The sequence below is a fragment of the Homo sapiens genome, chromosome 7, assembly GCF_000001405.40.
Source record: "Homo sapiens chromosome 7, GRCh38.p14 Primary Assembly".
NCBI classification, from domain to species: Eukaryota; Metazoa; Chordata; class Mammalia; order Primates; family Hominidae; genus Homo; species Homo sapiens.
The window spans coordinates 40,446,322-40,463,483 of NC_000007.14; the positions used below are offsets into that span (position 1 = coordinate 40,446,322).

General features: G+C 37.5%; 1 protein-coding gene across 18 annotated transcripts in view; it reads left to right on the forward strand.

Annotated features, from left to right (window-relative positions):
* SUGCT (succinyl-CoA:glutarate-CoA transferase) overlaps positions 1 to 17,162 on the forward strand; it is a 903,812-nt gene that overhangs the window by 311,317 nt on the left and 575,333 nt on the right. For all 18 annotated transcript variants that reach the window (XR_007060157.1, XR_007060158.1, XR_007060156.1 and 15 more), the window contains 2 exons: positions 2,966 to 3,037; positions 12,780 to 12,877. Coding sequence is in view for 15 of the 18 variants with exons in the window: in XM_047420840.1 (XP_047276796.1) it covers positions 2,966 to 3,037; positions 12,780 to 12,877 (170 nt within the window). In the remaining 3 variants the exon portion in view is untranslated. The remainder of the gene's footprint in view (positions 1 to 2,965; positions 3,038 to 12,779; positions 12,878 to 17,162) is intronic.

Genomic DNA, 17,162 nt, shown 5'->3' on the forward strand with positions numbered 1-17,162 from the left:
TACTTATTCGCCCCCCATCTCACCCTTCTCCACAAAAAAGCAAGCAAACAACCTGTGTAACTTCACAGTTGTCAATGGTTCCTTGCAATACTTCAGCTCAAAATCTTTTGTACCTCACCTACAGCTTTGTTGCAGATTTTCTTTCTGTAGTTGAGAAACACTAATGCATTGTCTATGACACTAACTTTACTTTTGCCCTCATGGACAAGGGAGAATGTTTGAAAGAGTTTATGTGATATCTCCTTAATAGCATTCCTTACCAAATCAAGCAACAATGTAAATAGAATAAAACCTTTTTATAATGTATTTCTTGGGATCTATTTTAGTTACCATTGTGCTATCTGGAAGCAATCATTTGGTTGATTCATTAGCATTTACCAACTATTTATTAATTGCCTAACATTCTTCAGATATCATGTTAGGATGATGAAGACTGAAATTAAGACATGACCAATACAATCTCCCAGTTCCACTCTACCAGCACTGTATAAAATAACTTTATGTTATGATGGAAGTACTCTGTGTCTGTGCTGGCTAATACAGTAGCCACTAGCCACACGTGGCTATTGAATGCTTGATATTTAGCTAGTGTGACTATGGATCTGAATTGTTAATTGTTAATAACAGGTTTATTGGAATGTAATTCATGTACCATATAATTCACCCATTTATAGTGCACAATTCAGTGATTTTTAGTGTATTCAGAGTTGTGCAACCATCAGTCAATTTTGGAACATTTTCATTACCCTGACAAGAAACCCAGTATTCATTAACAATCACTCCCCATCTTCCCCCAGCTTCCACTGCTTTATGCAGCCACTAGTGTTTTTTTCTGTCTTGATGGATTTGCCTATTTTAGACATTTCTTATAAATAGAATCACAATATTTGGCCTTTAGTGACTGGCTAATTTCAGTTTATTTAAATTTAATGATCACATGCGGCTAGTGGCTAATGTAAGAAGCAAGTGAAGTGAAAGACCAAAGACAGATGCTTAAGGAATGCTGAAGGCTCAGGAGAAGAAAATCCTGCAGAAAGGGTATGTGTAAAACAGAGAGCTAGGAGATGAACTTGGACAGAGCCTGAAGATAAGAGACTTTCATGGAGGAGGGAATGGTTAACAGTACCAAATAATACAGAGGGTTCAAAAAGTATAGTTCAGTGTGATAGTAAGTATCCCGATGACAGAGGTCACTAGAATGTGGTCTTGGTGGGGAAGTGAGGGCAGGTGGCGCTCTTATGTCATTATAGAAGAAGGGAACAAAGGAACATTCAAGATACCTTGAAAGGGGTGTTGGGATTGATCAAAATTCTCTTCAGTTGTTGTTAATGGTATTTTTATGGAGAACTGAGCCTATATGTAGGCAGAAGAGAAGGATTCAGTGGAAATGAAGAACTTACAGATGATTAAGCAAGTTCTGGAGGATGCAGGTGGAGGTGATCAGCCCAGGAGTAAGTCCAGTCAAGGAAAACAGTCTTTTTTCTTAAAGGGAGGAGGAAGTGAAGAAAAAGTAGGTGGAGATACAGCACAGTTTTTATGTAGAAAGGATGAAAATTCAAATAGCTAATTTACTTTGGGGAAGTAGGAATGAGGCCTTCTGAGGGTAAAATTTGGTTCCTCCAATTTCACTGTGATCATATGTGGAGAAAGAAGTGCTAAAACATCCTCCAATGGGCTAGGACTGTGGGTGGTTAGAGTGTCCATCGCTGTCCACAGGAACCTGTCACCAAAAAAGGACAGACATTTTTAGGTACATAAAGCCACATGAGGTCCAGAGAGATACTGATGTGTCCATTTTTGCCACTAAAATTAAAGAGTGCCCAAAAGATTACATTTGAGTTCTTGAAAGAAGCAATGTAGCTCCATGAGGTCACTTTCCTTCCCTCTCCCAGTTCCCTCCCTCCCTCCCTCCCTCCCTCCCTCCCTTCCTTCCTTCCTTCCTTCTCCTTCCTTTGCTTCTCCCTTCTTTCTATCTATGCTTCTTACACTTTGTAGAAACATAATGCTTTTTGCCTTATAATGCTTTTTGCCCTACAGGGAAAAAATGAAAATAAAACAAAAAAATTCTTAATTGTTCCAAACCATAATGAATAGAGTATTTTATTTTGTACATTATAATGGATTTCCTTTATTTTTTTGAATCACTCTTTTTTGTTTTTTTGACAAATGTTGTAACAGTGGAAGAGTTAGGAAATGCTTAGAACCATCTAAATGAAACCAACTATCCAAATATAAAAGAAAAAGGGCCAGGCATGGTGGCTCATGCCTGTAATCCCGGCACTTTGGGAGGCTGAGGTAAGCGGATCTCGAGCCCAGGGGTTTAAGACCTGCCTGGGCAACATAGTGAGACCCCATTTCTACAAAAAGTACAAAATTAGCTGGGCATGATGCCATGCACCTGTAGTCCCAGATACACAGGAGGCTGGGGCAGGAGGATTGCTTAAACCTGGGAGGTGGAGCAGTAAGCTGAGATCGTGCCATTGCATTCCATCCTGGGAGCCTGGGTGACAGAGACAGACCCTGTCACCAAATACATACACACACACACACTCATATATACATACATACATACATAGACACATATGTGTGTGTGTGTGTATATATGTGTGTGTGTGTGTGTGTGTGTGTGTATATATATATAGAGAGAGAGAGAGAGAGAGAGAAAGAGAGAGAGAGAGAGATCTATTCTGTGATGATGGAAATATTCCGTCTGTGCTGGCTAATACAATAGCCACTAGCCACATGTGGCTATTGACTGTTTGACATTTAGTTAGTGTGTATATATATATTATATCTTTTGTGGAAGATATATATGTATACATATATGAAAAAGATACAAATTAATCGATATTGAATTAATAACATTGCTTTAGAACAAGCTTTCTATATAGATATTTTAGAAATTAAACTTTTGTGGTCTTGTCAACATATAAATAATATTTACCTGTGTATTTATTTCTTTTAGGCTTTTAAAACCAAGGATGGCTATATTGTAGTTGGAGCAGGAAATAACCAGCAGTTTGCCACCGTCTGCAAGGTAATCTATAATTATTGGGATTGGTCGATGATTTTGTACAAAGCCAGGGAAAGTTCAGTTTTGCCCAGGTCACAACCAACTTAGGCCCCCTGTGTTAGCAACTAAAAGTATAGGATATTCATGCGCATAAAGGATAAGGCAGAGTCCAAATTAGCATTCTGTGTTTTTTGTGGTATTTGGCTGTATTTTAAAGTGAAGAATCGTAGTAGCTTAAATTGTCCTAAAACTTGACCTGCCTACCATTCCAAACAAAATGGGGGAATCATTTTTAGAGGGACCTTTAACACTGGTATTTTTTTCTTTTTTTCACCTCCCTCCTTCCCTTCCTGCCTTCCTTTCTTCCTTTCGTTCTCTCCCTCCTTCTCTTTTACTATATCAGGTTAATTGGAACCATATATAGTTAAGCTACTCCCATATTTATTTTATTTACTACTGGAAATTTTAAAACTTTTTTTCAACTTAACCTTTATTTAATGAGTACCTTTCTGAAGAATTTATGTTTCAAGGTTTTAGGAATTAAGATTATATTAAATTGTTCCTTCTCAACAAGGCCTTAAAATAAAGACCTTGGAATCATTTAAAATAATTTATTCTTAGGGATATTCTAAACTTGTAGCATTTACTAAACTTCGCCATCTTGGATCACTGCAACCTCTGCCTCCTTGCTCCAAGCGATTCTCCTGCCTCAGCCTCCAGAGGAGCTGGGATGACAGGTGCGTGCCACCATGCCTGGCTATTTTTGTATTTTTAGTAGAGATGTGGTTTCACTATGCTGGCCAGGGTGGTCTCGAACTCCTGACCTCAAGCGACCTGCCCACCTTGGCCTCCCAAAGTTCTAGAATTACAGGCGTGAACCACTGCACCCGGCCTACTAGACTTTTTTTTTCTTTACTTGATGTTTATATTAGTTATCAAGACTTTGGTGTTTTGTTTTAATTTTAGAACTTAGGTATCTGTTCATTTTTTCTGGTTTTAATCCAAGTAATAGAATTTCATTTTTATTTTTATTTTTCTTAAATATATCCAAAGGCCTTACCTGTTAAGGATTTTTTTCTTTTTTTTTTTTTGAGAGACAATCAGCTTTTATACTAAATTTTACCATGAGCTTTCAGTGTTATTAAAGATGACTATGAGGGCCAGGCGCAGTGGCTCATGCCTGCAATCCCAGCACTTTGAGAGGCCGAGGTGGGCAGATTGCCTGAGCTCAGGAGTTCTCGACCAGCCTGAGCAACAAGGTGAAACCCTGTCTCTACTAATAAATACAAACAATTAGCCAGGTGTGGCAGCCATGCGCCTGTAGTCCCAGCTACTCGGCTGAGGCAGGAGAATTGCTTGAACCCGGGAGGCGGAGGTTGCAGTGAGCCGAGATTGCGCCACTGCACTCAAGCCTAGGTGACAGAGGGAGACTCTGTCTCAAAAAAAAAAAGAGATGCCTATGAAATCCTGAATCTCATTTACTGTAGTTAACTTATTATGTACAGAAATTACTTATTACTGTGCCTCTTTTGTATGAGAAGGTAGGGAGCAGAGCTAAAAACCACAGCAAAGGGTTGGGAAGGACCAGGGAGAAGCTGACAAATGGAGATAGTTCTGATTGCAGGAAGGGCTGAAACATCTGAGGTGGGAAAGAGGGGAGCCTTTTAAATGGTGACTCTGAGTAAGTGTAGGGAAAATCGATTCAAACATTTGATCTGGGATCAAAGAATCTTTATTATGAACGGTCAATGTTAAAAATATGAAACATACGGAAGCTGTTGCCTGTGAAGTCATTTGCGTACTCTAACTGCAGAGATGTATAAGCCAGTTCATTGCTATAAACGAGTACAGATTTTCTTCCTGGGCCATATGTTTTGGAGTTTTCTTTCTCCAGAAAGTCGTGGGGTTGGGGGTGGGAGGACCTGGCAGTGAAAATTACTGTTTGACATACTCTTTAGTTTTGAAAATAACTGTACTGAATTCTTTGTATTTTTGATTCATTACTGCCGATCAAGTTAACACTTTTGAACTTCCTCATAAATATCCATAAGAACAGTTTTCAACAAAGGTTCTTATTTCAAAGCAGAATATTTGCCAGAAGTTTTAGTACTGAAATATGACTTATTGTTATGGTGTGTTATAAGACATTGCTTATAAAGGAGACTATCAGAGGGCCTTAGGAATGGCACACTTGACCTTGATTTTCTCATATGAGAGTTAGGAATGATAATCCCTGTTATGAGCCATTAATCCAATGTCTGTAAAACTCTTTGAGATTCTCAGAAGATTTATGTGTACGGGATTCTTGAGTTATTTACATTATTAGCTAAGCATCCTGCGTGAATGCTGCAATCTGATTGACTTTTTCAAATCTTTGTAATTATGCCCTCACATGTAAACTTGTCCTAAACACCTTCTTACCTAAGAAAAATCATCTGTTCCTCCATTCTGATGCAAGGTTTTCTTCCCTTCCCAGTTATGTGTAGCGTGTGGATGTCTTCTAAGCATTTTTTTTTACTCATATTTATTTATTACTCAGAGCCTTGTTATTCAAACTGGGCTTATAGAAGATGGGGTTCCCAGTTCTTCACAGTGAGCCCCTCAAAACTGTTCTTTCGTCAAGTACACTCCATCAGGAAAGATGGGACAACTTTAGTTCCTGGTGAGAAATGTGGCAGCACTGTCTGTGACAAATGAATGGAATTGACTTATGCCTAGTCTCTTCCCAAAATAGAATTGATATAGTGGTTGATTGATAATTCTTGGGGAGGAGCTATATTAGTGAGCTTTCACTGTAAGGAGTTGGAGTGGGAGCAAGAATATTGGGTTCAAGTCTGAGGTTCCAGAAAATCTTGTTGTGTATAAAGTGAACCTTGTTCATAACAAGTCCTACTTAATGTTCCTTACCATGATACAGCAAAGTATGAAAGTGAGCATATGTAAGCTATTTTAAGCTGATGGATGCCACCCAAATGGGTATTCCTATATGAAATATTGAATATTGACATCCTTTTGAAAGTAATGTAGACTGAAGGCTTCTTTTACTGGAGAGACTATACATTGGTTCTCAATGTAGTATGCATAGGAATGTCCTTTAGCCCCATTCCCGAACATTTTACTTTAGTATGTCTGGGGTGAGGTAGAGGAAACTTCAGTTTTAAGAAGGACTGTAGGTGATTTTGGAGCAAGTTTTTAGACCACCTGCTCCAAAATATAATATATCCAAGGTATAATGTTTAAGGCCTACTGTAAGTCTTATTGGTAGGTGAACTCTGTCACGGTCCTTAATCTTTTCTAAGCATCTGTTTTCCTATGTATAAAATGAAGATTATAATACGTAATTATACTTGTATACAACTTAGGGGTTTGGAAAGTGTTAGAGAAGTGAAGCACTTAGAATAGGCCTTGCTCATGTGCACTTAATAAATGACATCTATGAAAATTAGATATGAAGATTCTGGTTCTGAGGAGGAGAGAGTAAATACACTTTTCCCACTTACCCCGAGCACGGTGATCATACCTGGACAGAATTGCATGAATCCATGAAGCATGTATTAAAAGACTTTGAAAAGTAAATAGTAAGAGATTTAGGGGAGAACACCTGAATTTGAAGTACCTCTAACTGGCAGTCAACTTAACCAGCTTTTCCCTCTAGTTATTCCTTCACTTGAGTATAGTTGAACCTGAAACCTGGAAGTGAGCACCAGGCAGTGCAGCAGATATCCAGGAAATGCTCTTTATTCCCGGTGCAAAGAACATGAAAAAGTGAGCTGTAATGTCAGAGAGAGTGTGGAAATAGTTTGTTTTCCCCTCCTTTCCATTTTCTTATGCCCCAGACCCCAAGTAATCCTGTATTGGAAACAGCAGATGAGCAGGAGCCAACTCTGAGAAAGAAGAACTTTCTTCATTGCTGAGCTGTGATCCCAAAGAAAGGAGTGAATCTCCTTTCCTTTTCCCCCTCCATTCTCCTGTTGCATGGCCTCTGCCCTGGAACCATGCTGGGGAGTGGGATAACTAAAGCAGGAGCCCCAGGCAACTGGAAAATGCTAGAGAGATTGCAGAGAGAAGATCTTGACAAAGCAATCCTTGATGTTGTTTATGAACTCTTGGGATCACCCCTTACTTGCATATGCACTAATTTGATCCTAATCAGCATACCAAAGATGATAGGAACTGAATTAGTAAATAGACAACTGCCCAGGTTGTCATATGACCATTAGGTTTGGCACTTACTAGTCAGATTCAAATAACACTGCAAAGGCTTTGAAACCTTAATCAAAATGAGAATCAAAGCCCACAGAAGGTGGGTAAGAACTGGCAGCCTGGATGTAACCAGGTCAATTGTCTGCTAAACCAGCAAGAGTAAAAATTCTCCTTAGAATTTAAACAAGACCCAGTGGCTCATAATATAATGTTCAAAATGTCCAGGATACAATCCATTATTACTGAGCATATGAAGAACCAGAACTTGCATGAGAACAGGCCATCAATGCCAACGCGAAGATGACACAGATGTTGGAATTAACTTACAAAGATGTTTACATAGCTATTATAACAACGCTCTAACAAGCATCACAAACACTGTTTAATAAATGGGATATAGAAATATTTAGCAAAGAAATATAAGATATGAAGAAGAACCAAAAGGAAAATTAAAAACTTAAAAGTATAATAACCAAGAAAAAAATTACACCTCACTCGTTGAGCTCAATAGTGCAATGAAGATGACAAGGAACTTAAAGATAGATCAATAGAAATTATTCAATCTGAAGAAGAGAGAGAACAAAAGATAGCTCCTTCCTACTCAAAACAAGAAATAACAGATCCTCAGGAACCTATTCAACAATAACAAAAAGTCCAATATTTATGTCATTGTAGTCCCAGAATGAGGGGAGAAAGTGTACATGCTGAAAAATATTTGAAGAAATAACAATTGTATATATACCAAATTTGGTAAAAGTTAAATGCCCGTAGATTTAGTAATTTCAGCAAACCATAAATGGGATAAACTGAAAAAAATCTATGCATGAATACATAATGTGTCCTTTAAGAACAGGTGTATGTCCTGAGAAATGTGTCAGTTGGTGGTGGTGTGTGAATATCATAGAGTGTACTTACACAAACCTAGATGGTATAGCCTGCTACACACATAGGCTATATGGGATAGCCTATTCCTCCTAGGCTATAAATCTGTACAGCATGTACATGTTACTGCACTCAATACTATAGGCAATTGTAACACAGTGGATACACAAAAATCATCCAGAAAAACACCCAGAGGGGGAAAAAATGTATTATCCATGGGGAAACAGTGATTTGATTAACTGCATATTTTTTTGTCAGAAATTAATGCTAGGGAAGAAGTGGCACAACATGTTTAAAAGGCTGAATGGAAAGAATGCCAACCTAGATTTCAATATCCAGTAGAAATATCCTTAAGAAATGAAGGTTAAATAAAGATGTTCTGTATAAAGGAAAACTAAGGGAATTTGTAGCCAGCTGACTTCCTCTAAAATAATTTTTCCAGGAATTTTTCATTTACAGAAGGTAAATGTTGTCAGAAGGGAACTGGAAACATCAGAAATGAAGGAAAAGTAACGTAAATAGTAAATATCTGGGTGAATATAATGGTCTATTCTTTTCCTAGTGAATTCTTTGAAATATTTGATGGGTGAAAGCAAACATTAAGATACTGTCTGATGGGATTTTCAGTGTATGTAGATCTAACATACAGATAAATACAACATAAAATGGGGAGAGTAAAGGGACTATATTGTAGTAAGTTTGCTATATTCCACTTGAAGTGGTAAAATTTTGATTCTAACTACAATGCGAAAAGTATATGCATTATGATTCCCTAAGCAGTCATTAAACATCTATCATTAAACATCTATGCAAAAATATAGCCAAAATCAAAATAGGTAAGTGTAATAGTAATGACTCTAAAGAATACCAGAAAGCAAAACAGGGATAAACAGAAAAAAGAATAAACTGATCTAAGTCATTCAAAAATATCAACAACATTAAATGTGAATGGTCTAAATATATGAATTAACAGAAGTTGTCAGAAAAAAATGACCCAACTCTATGCTGTCCAATTCATATTTGAAATTCACTTCAAATATAATGATACTGTTAAGTTAAAGTAAGAAGATGGAAAAATATACAAACACAAACAAAAGAGGCAAACACTAATGAAAAGAAAACTGGAGTGGGGCTATATTAATTATGGACCAGTTTTTGTCATCTCAGAAAACTTGTTTGCAACAAATTCTTGTGCAAATACTTATTTAACATTTGTGCTGGCAGAGGGAAGATCAGATGATCTGAATTTGTTGAGAAATTGTGAAACCTCACATTTCACAAGAGATGTTGCCTTTTCCTTTATCTAAAAGCTAGATTCCAGTAGTTCTTATGCTACAAGTGATTCTCTGTTTCTGCACCTTCCTGCATATGCAAAGATCTTTTATTTCAGTACTGAGTTATCATATTTTCTATCATACTGGATGCCATTTTAAATGGCAATTAAACTTAACATGTGTTGTGCCAGTAATGCACTTAAAGTGATGGCGGTGTATATGAACATTATGACTTACAGGCAATGACAACTCTTCATAATTTTCTCCTGACAAACAGCTCTTTCAGAGGCCATATAGCTTTTAAGAAGCAACTATATTTATATTTTATTTATTTATTTATTTTTATTTATGAGATGGAGTCTTGCTCTATTGCCCAGGATGGAGTGTAGTGGCATGATCTCGGCTCACTGCAACCTCTGCCTCCTGGGTTCAAGTGATTCTTGTGCCTCAGCCTCCTGAGTAGCTGGGATTACAGGCACCCACCGTCATGCCTGAATAATTTTTGTATTTTTAGTAGAGATGGGGTTTCACCATGTTGGCCAGGTTGGTCTCCAACTCTTGACCTCAGGTGATCCACCCGCCTTGGCCTCCCAAAAGTGCTGGGATTATAGGCATGAGCCACCGCCCCTGGCTGCAACTAAAAAGTGATTTTAGACATAATTGAATAAGGTATATGCATAGAATAATGTCTGCAATATCATACACCTGAAATTGTTCATATTGTTTGTCTGTGAGCTTGTCAGTTGAAGAATGTGTTGTCAGCATTTGGGCTATACCAGTGAACAAAACATTTAAAATACTTTGACTTTGTGAAGCTTATATTTTAGCAGGGCAGACAGATATGGAGTAATAAACATAATAAATATGTTAGGTGATAAATATTATGGGAAAAAGTGGTCAAGGGAAGAGGGAATCAGGGGAGTCAGTGTTGAGTGGGGTGGGGTGGCCTGTGATGGGGGTAGGGTAATCAAGGTAGTTGCATTAAGAAGTTGAATTTGAGCCTACTCAACCAAGGAAAGGAGGAGCTAGCCAACTAGATGTCTGGTGGAAGATGTTCCAAGCAAAGGAATAGCTATTTTAAAACTACTGAGGCTGAAGTGGAATAGACATGTTTCTGGTCCAGCAAGAAGATGAAATGGCTGCAGCAATGAGCAAGGGAGGAGAGCATGGTAACAGGTGATGTTAGAGAGGTAATAGCGCCATATTGTGTAGAACCTTCCAGACTATCTTAAGGATTTTGGTTTTTGCTTTAAGGGGAACATTAGATGATAGGCATGTTAAAACACTTGCAGTTTTTATTATCATGGGTCTTCATTATTTTTTCTCTTCTCCTTTCGTTTGCTACTCAGTTTATGGTGTTTTGTTATTTTCTTTTTTTTTTGTTTTTGCCAATGTCTCTTCATTTTTTTGCAGAGCCCTCCCTCCTTTCTTTTTTGTACCAATATATGCTTTTTAAATTTTTCTGGCCAGACTCTGTGGCTCATGCCTGTAATCCAAGCACTTTGGGAGGCCGAAGTGGGCAGATCATTTGAGGTCAGGAGTTCGAGACAAGCCTGACCAACATGGTAAAACCTCATCTCTACTAAAAATACAGAAAAATTAGCCGGGCATGATGGTGCGCATGCCTGTAATCGCAGCTACTCAGGAGGCTGAGGCAGGAGAATCCCTTGAACCCGGGAGGTGGAGGTTGCAGTGAGCTGAGATCGTGCCCCTGCACTCCAGCCTACGCAGCAGTGTGAGACTGTCTCAAAAAAAAAAATATCTTTTGGGGGAAACAGTACCTAGTTGGAATATTTCACATTTATTTAGTGCTTAATATGTCAAGCATTTTCATGTACATTGTTTTATTTTATCCCAGGCAGCACTCTTTTTTAATTTAAGCTCCAAAATAATAGTTATGATCACAGTCATTGAAGTTGTCTCTCGAAACATTTTGAATGTTAGCTGGCATAGCTGAAGATGGAAGGATCATTACTTTGGCCAACGATTTCACACCATCTTTGAAACAAAAAAGAGTTCCAGTAAGTCAAATACAGAGGACACATGGGCATTCCAGTTACCCTTAAGTGTGGTCACTGTGTAATTTTTTGTTGCTGATGGTGCTTTTTGGGTGAGGCCAGGTTTATAAATTTAACCTGTGACTTAGTGAAGACGCTTGGTTTTTTCTTGGAATGACTTATTCACTCTTACGGAGGGAGGGTGTCTAACTGCTAGACAGGGCTTGAGGCCAATTCTTGGATCAGGTGTTGTGACAGGGAGGTTTCTAGAAAGGGTGCTGTATGTGGTGTTGGTTTTTAAAATCCGGGAGAATAATGCAGTCTTTATTATTCCTAAAGGAAATAAGTGAAACATGTGAAAGAAAAATTACACCACTGAGATGGTCTCTTTACTCAAGGGAATCTTCTTCACTTCTCTGTCCTTTGTAAGATGATTAATAGATAGATTTTATTTAAACTGTGGCAAATAAATGAAACCATTAAATATTTATATTGAAAGTAAATATATTAATAAAGGCAATGAAGCTTTCTGTAGGCCGCATGGCCTGCCCCCAGGCTGTAAATACTCCTTGTGACTTTCCAATACAACTGCCAAGCACTGCCTCTACACAGTCTTTGTAAAACTTTTCCATTCCAAATCCACTTGGTACTTTCATTATGGTCTTGTTAACGTTGAATGTTGTCCAAAGGGACTTGCAAGATAGATTTTCCCCTTATTGAGGAGGAGCAAAAGAGGAAATCTATAAAAGCATTTCTAGTTGGTATTACTTCAGGGAGATATATTCATAAAAAATAGTGATACTTCTATAGGAAGAAGATCTTTTAATTTGCTATTGTTTAAATGGTGAGAATTTGGGTAAATGTATTTGCTTTTACTTTATTTTAGCAGCTTTTAGAACATTCTGCATAGGACAACCTGGGAAGATCACAGTATTTTATTTACATATGGTATAAATAAGTGAATATATCTACAAGGTACATGTTGACTGTATACAAGATACATGTAGATATGCACTTAGGATATTGGTTTTTAAAATTTGGTCCGTTTTACCCAGTTTAGCATCTCTCTCCCTATTTCCTCTAAACAAGATTTTTTTCTGTGGGGATCTGCTAACATGTTTCCTATATTCTCATATTTGGTATAAGACTTATGGGCATCTTTTGCTGGTCTCCTATATGTAAGAATATTTGCTTAAATGTAGTAAAAGCCTCTTATGAATGACAAACCCTTTCACCAGCATGTTCCATCCTAATCGTGTGCTTGTTCCCTCCATATGTCCTTGTTGAGGGGCATAAAGACCAGCAAGGAATGTTCTTGAGAAGGGAGAGATAGGACCTGAACACTAGCACCCACAGGCAGGTACAAGAACTACCTATTTCTTATACTGGAAAATTATTTTTTTCTTTTAGATCTTGGATTTGCCTGAGTTGATTGATAATTCCAAGTATAAAACTAACCACCTTCGGGTACACAATAGAAAAGAGCTTATTAAAATATTATCTGAACGGTAAGTTTGGATGTTGTATTCATCCATTTAAGAATTAATATGTGATAAGCATTTATCTGGTGTTTTATATGTTTTTTTCTTGGCTTATTTGAGATCAATTTGTAATTCTCTTCCATTTTACAAAACTGGCTGGTGGAGAGATTTTAAAGCTGTGGGGTTTTTTTGTTTGTTTGTTTAGAAGCACTTGAACACATTTTATGTTTTGTTAAGTACTGAGTCATAACAATGATATAAATAAGAAAGTCACCATGACTTGAATTTGGTTGTTTCTCTGTGTCCTGTACCTGTTTGGGTTTAGTTTATCATAAATACAACAACAACAACAATAATAATTTAACATTATTTCATACTTTCACTTTGTTAAATGCTTTAGATACATTGTCTCGTTTAATCCTCATAATTATCCTGTGAGGTAAGTTCTGTTATTTCCATTTTACATGTAAGGAAAGCAAGGTAAAGAGAGGTGAAATCAAGAGTTGGTTTGCATTTCTGAGCCACTCCTGTGAATCTTGATGTTATTTCTGGATCATTGCAGATGCCACATTGAGTTATGGGTCATAAAATATTAATGTTAATTAAGTAGAATATTTTATTTCCATTTTTTTCCATTAATGTCAGGTTATTTTTTTGTAATACCTGTACCAATTTTTCAAGTTTGTCTGAAGAAAATAATTATTCTTACTGTTTCATGTCAGTTTCACTTTTTGTTTGCCTTTACATGTCTTCTGAATCTGTACAAATGGGCTTTGTGGCTTTTGTGGATCTAAATGCCCACATGAACTTTTCTTTTATATTGAAAATTTGCTCTCATCATGCCAATAAATTAGGTAATTTTGTTTAAATACCATATTTAGCCTTTTGAAAAGGCTCAAGTGTTTCTATGTAGTATACATCAAAGTTATAAGAACTAAAATTCCGCTGTTTTTATTTTTGTTGTCTTTGTATTTGGGGATGTCTGCAGGAATATCTGAATCAACATTCATCTATCTATTTTTCCTGGATTTGAAATACTTTTGTAACTTTAAACATTTTATAATTTTAAACACTGCCTGTATCTTTTCCATGTGCCAAATGCTATTCATATCAATAGGGACTGTGTGTTGTGGGACTGATAGACACAGAATGGGGGATGGAGAACTGGGTGCCCTTTTCTGGTCCCTAGTTAAATATAACTCTGATTCTACCGCGAAGCCCCAGAGCCCTCAATGATTAACTTTTCTCCACATGAGAAGTGCCCATTTATTTCTTCTTTTTGCCTCTCTGCCTCTCAAGCATTTGTAATTCATATAATTAATTGATAAAGCTTTTTCCTTTCACACGATGGTTACCAAGTTTCAATAATAGCCACTTGTGAGAACCTTATCAGAAGCTCTTTGATAAACTGAATAAATCATGACCATACTGCGAGAAGAACAGATCCCAAGAAAAATATGATACCTAGATTGGTTTCCTGTGTTTTAAAACTTTTATTCCTTGCTAAATTATGTTATAGAGTTCAACTGTGGGATGACTTTTAGTAGCATCTGTAACATACTCATTGCCATTTTCCCTCTTTGGGGTGAATTATATAATCTGCAACCTTCTTCTTTCTGTTCTTTTATACACAGAAGTAGAAGTTTCAGCATTTTGGTATCTATAAGTTTGTTATATTTTTATTCAGACTTAACAATAAGTAAGGAATCGACCTGCAAGGAAGAGACGGGGCAGGCGTGGGTAGTCCTAGGAGAGGAAATTTCATAAGGAGGTCACATCATCATTGGTACTGCCGTTAAAACACAGACCACAGATAGAGCCCTTGGCTGCTTGCAGGCTAGCTTTTGTGCTCTCTTCTGCTAGTGCGCTGACATTTTTTGGTACCTTCTTATGAGTTGCAGTTCTCCAAGTCTCTTCTAGCACGTCTCTCTTCCTCCACGGTAGTTCAAATAGTGATGACCTGGGAAGATTAGAATTAGAATATTGATTCATTCCAGTTTATAAGCTTATCATTTATTTTTCTGAACAAATATCACTGGAATCATTAGTACTGCTTAGTGCTTGGCTTTGAGAAGTCTCTTAAAATTTCTCATTTTCATTATATGATGTGTGTTTTTCCAGTATTCAAAAATATTAGTGGTGCTTCATAAGTTACATGATTAGACGTAGCCTCCAGCCTGGCATGCGGTGTCTTCCATAATCTGACATCACCTTTCCTGTCCACTCTTCTTCTTACATGTTTCCAAAGGACGGCCCTGCTATAGTCACCCTCCCAATTGGTTTAGTTTCCTCTCTGAAATGCTTCTCAGAATTACCACTATTCTGAAACTTAGTCATGCTTCAAGGCCAGTTCTAGAAGCCTCTGTTCCCAGTAAGATGTTGGCACCTTTAGGAAAGAACATTGTCCTTTTCATGCCTTGTCCGTTGCCATTGCCAAACAGAAGTACAATCAACGTTAGTTGTCATTATGAATGATACTGCTCTAGGGCCTTCTCAACATTCTCGTCTTGCTCAGCACATGCATTACACAGCCACCTCAGAACTTGCAGGCATTTTATTTCCTAACAAAAGTGTTACATTAGCTCATAGCCACAAAAAAGGAGCCAGGGAGAAAGGAAGGAGTGGAACCAGCCTTTGGTGGCTGCCAAGTACATGCCAGATAAGTGTTATTATTCCCACTTGATATGAAAATTCTGACATTTAGGGAGGTGGTCTCCAGGTCAGGCACATAGTGAATAGTTAGAAATGGGATTCAAAAGGCTACACCTTTTTCATCTCTCATATTGCCTCCCTGAAGTGGCACATGAAATATGACTGTGTCCTTGTTTGTTTATGCGCTCAAGAAATATTTATTGAGCACTAACTGTGTAGTAGGCACTGTTGCAAGTTGGGGATAGAGAAGTGAACGAAACAGACAAAGTGTATCCATGAAAAATAATACAGGCCAGGACAAGGAAGAATGCCAGAAGTTAAGTGTGAAGCTGGGTTTTTCATTTAGTCTGGTCACAGAGGGCTTCTCTGTGAAAGTGACATTTGATCAGAAGCTTGCAAGAAATGAGAGAAAATGTCTGAGGGAGGCTGGCAGGCATCTGGGAGATGAATTCCAGGCAGAGTTTATGGAGTAAGTCAGAGGACAGTGTGCTTGGATCTGAGGGAGCAAGAGAAGAGGGGTGTCAGGTTGGTTCAGAGAGAGTGGGAGCCCATGGCAGGCAGATCAAGTCGTGAACTCATGAAAGCCTTTATGACAAAGTAGTTTCTTAAACTTGTGAAATAAAGGATTTTTTTTTCTGGCCATAAAATGGATTTGCTTATTGCAACTTTTTTCTAACTTGAAGAGAGAGCGTCAAGGGAGGGAGTGCTCTACCTAGTAGAGAAGAGGTCAAAGCATTTCAGCAACGTGGAGTCAGGAAGACCCCGTTTCTCACCTAGGAAGACCAGAGGGCCAGGTTGAAGTGGTCTATGCTTCTCCATTTATTCAGTCTCTCACATATTCAACAAGCATTTGTTGAACACCTACTATGTGCCATGAACTGTTCTGAGCACTAGGGATATAGCAGTAAAATACAGTCAAGAATTCCTGCCCTCCTGAATTTTCATTTGGTAACCATTGCAGACTTTCTAGAAGACATACTTCTTTTTGGTAGTGGTTGTTTTTGAACTATTACTTAACACATTTGTTTCGGTGAGCCTAAGAAGTTAGTTTTCCATATTTTTCATAATAACCACTTAAAAAATTTTTTCTCTTGCAAAACTATTACAGTTATAGGCTGTACCTGTTACTCATTTATTGTACTTTTTCAACATGTTGATATACATGCTCCAGTTTTTAAAATGTGGTTTGCCAGCCATTTCCATAGTAAAAACATATTTTTAGTAACAGTAGCCACTCACAAATAATCGACTTTACCATGTGAGTCTATCGTGTTTTTGCCTGTTGTCTTCTGTTAAACCTTACATCGCAGGCACTTTCCTTTAATACTTATAGACACTTTCCTTGCCTGATATTTTTATTTTAGAAAATCTTTAAAACGTGAAAATGTGGAGGGATTCATGAGAGTGAATTTGCACAGCAGATAACTTTAAAAACAAACTCTAGGAATGATGAACTCACTGTGTTTATTTTAAAAAGTTTTCTCATCCTTTACACCCAATTCGAAGACAGTGAAAACAGAAGCATTTATGGATTTTTACAAAGTTGGCTCTTGTAAATATACACGTGAATTTCCTATTGTGTTTCAAAATCTTCCTTCCAAAGTATTTTCCTTGAGCAATTTTTGAGTACTCCCCTCCCTGTCCCTTGTAAGCCTTCATT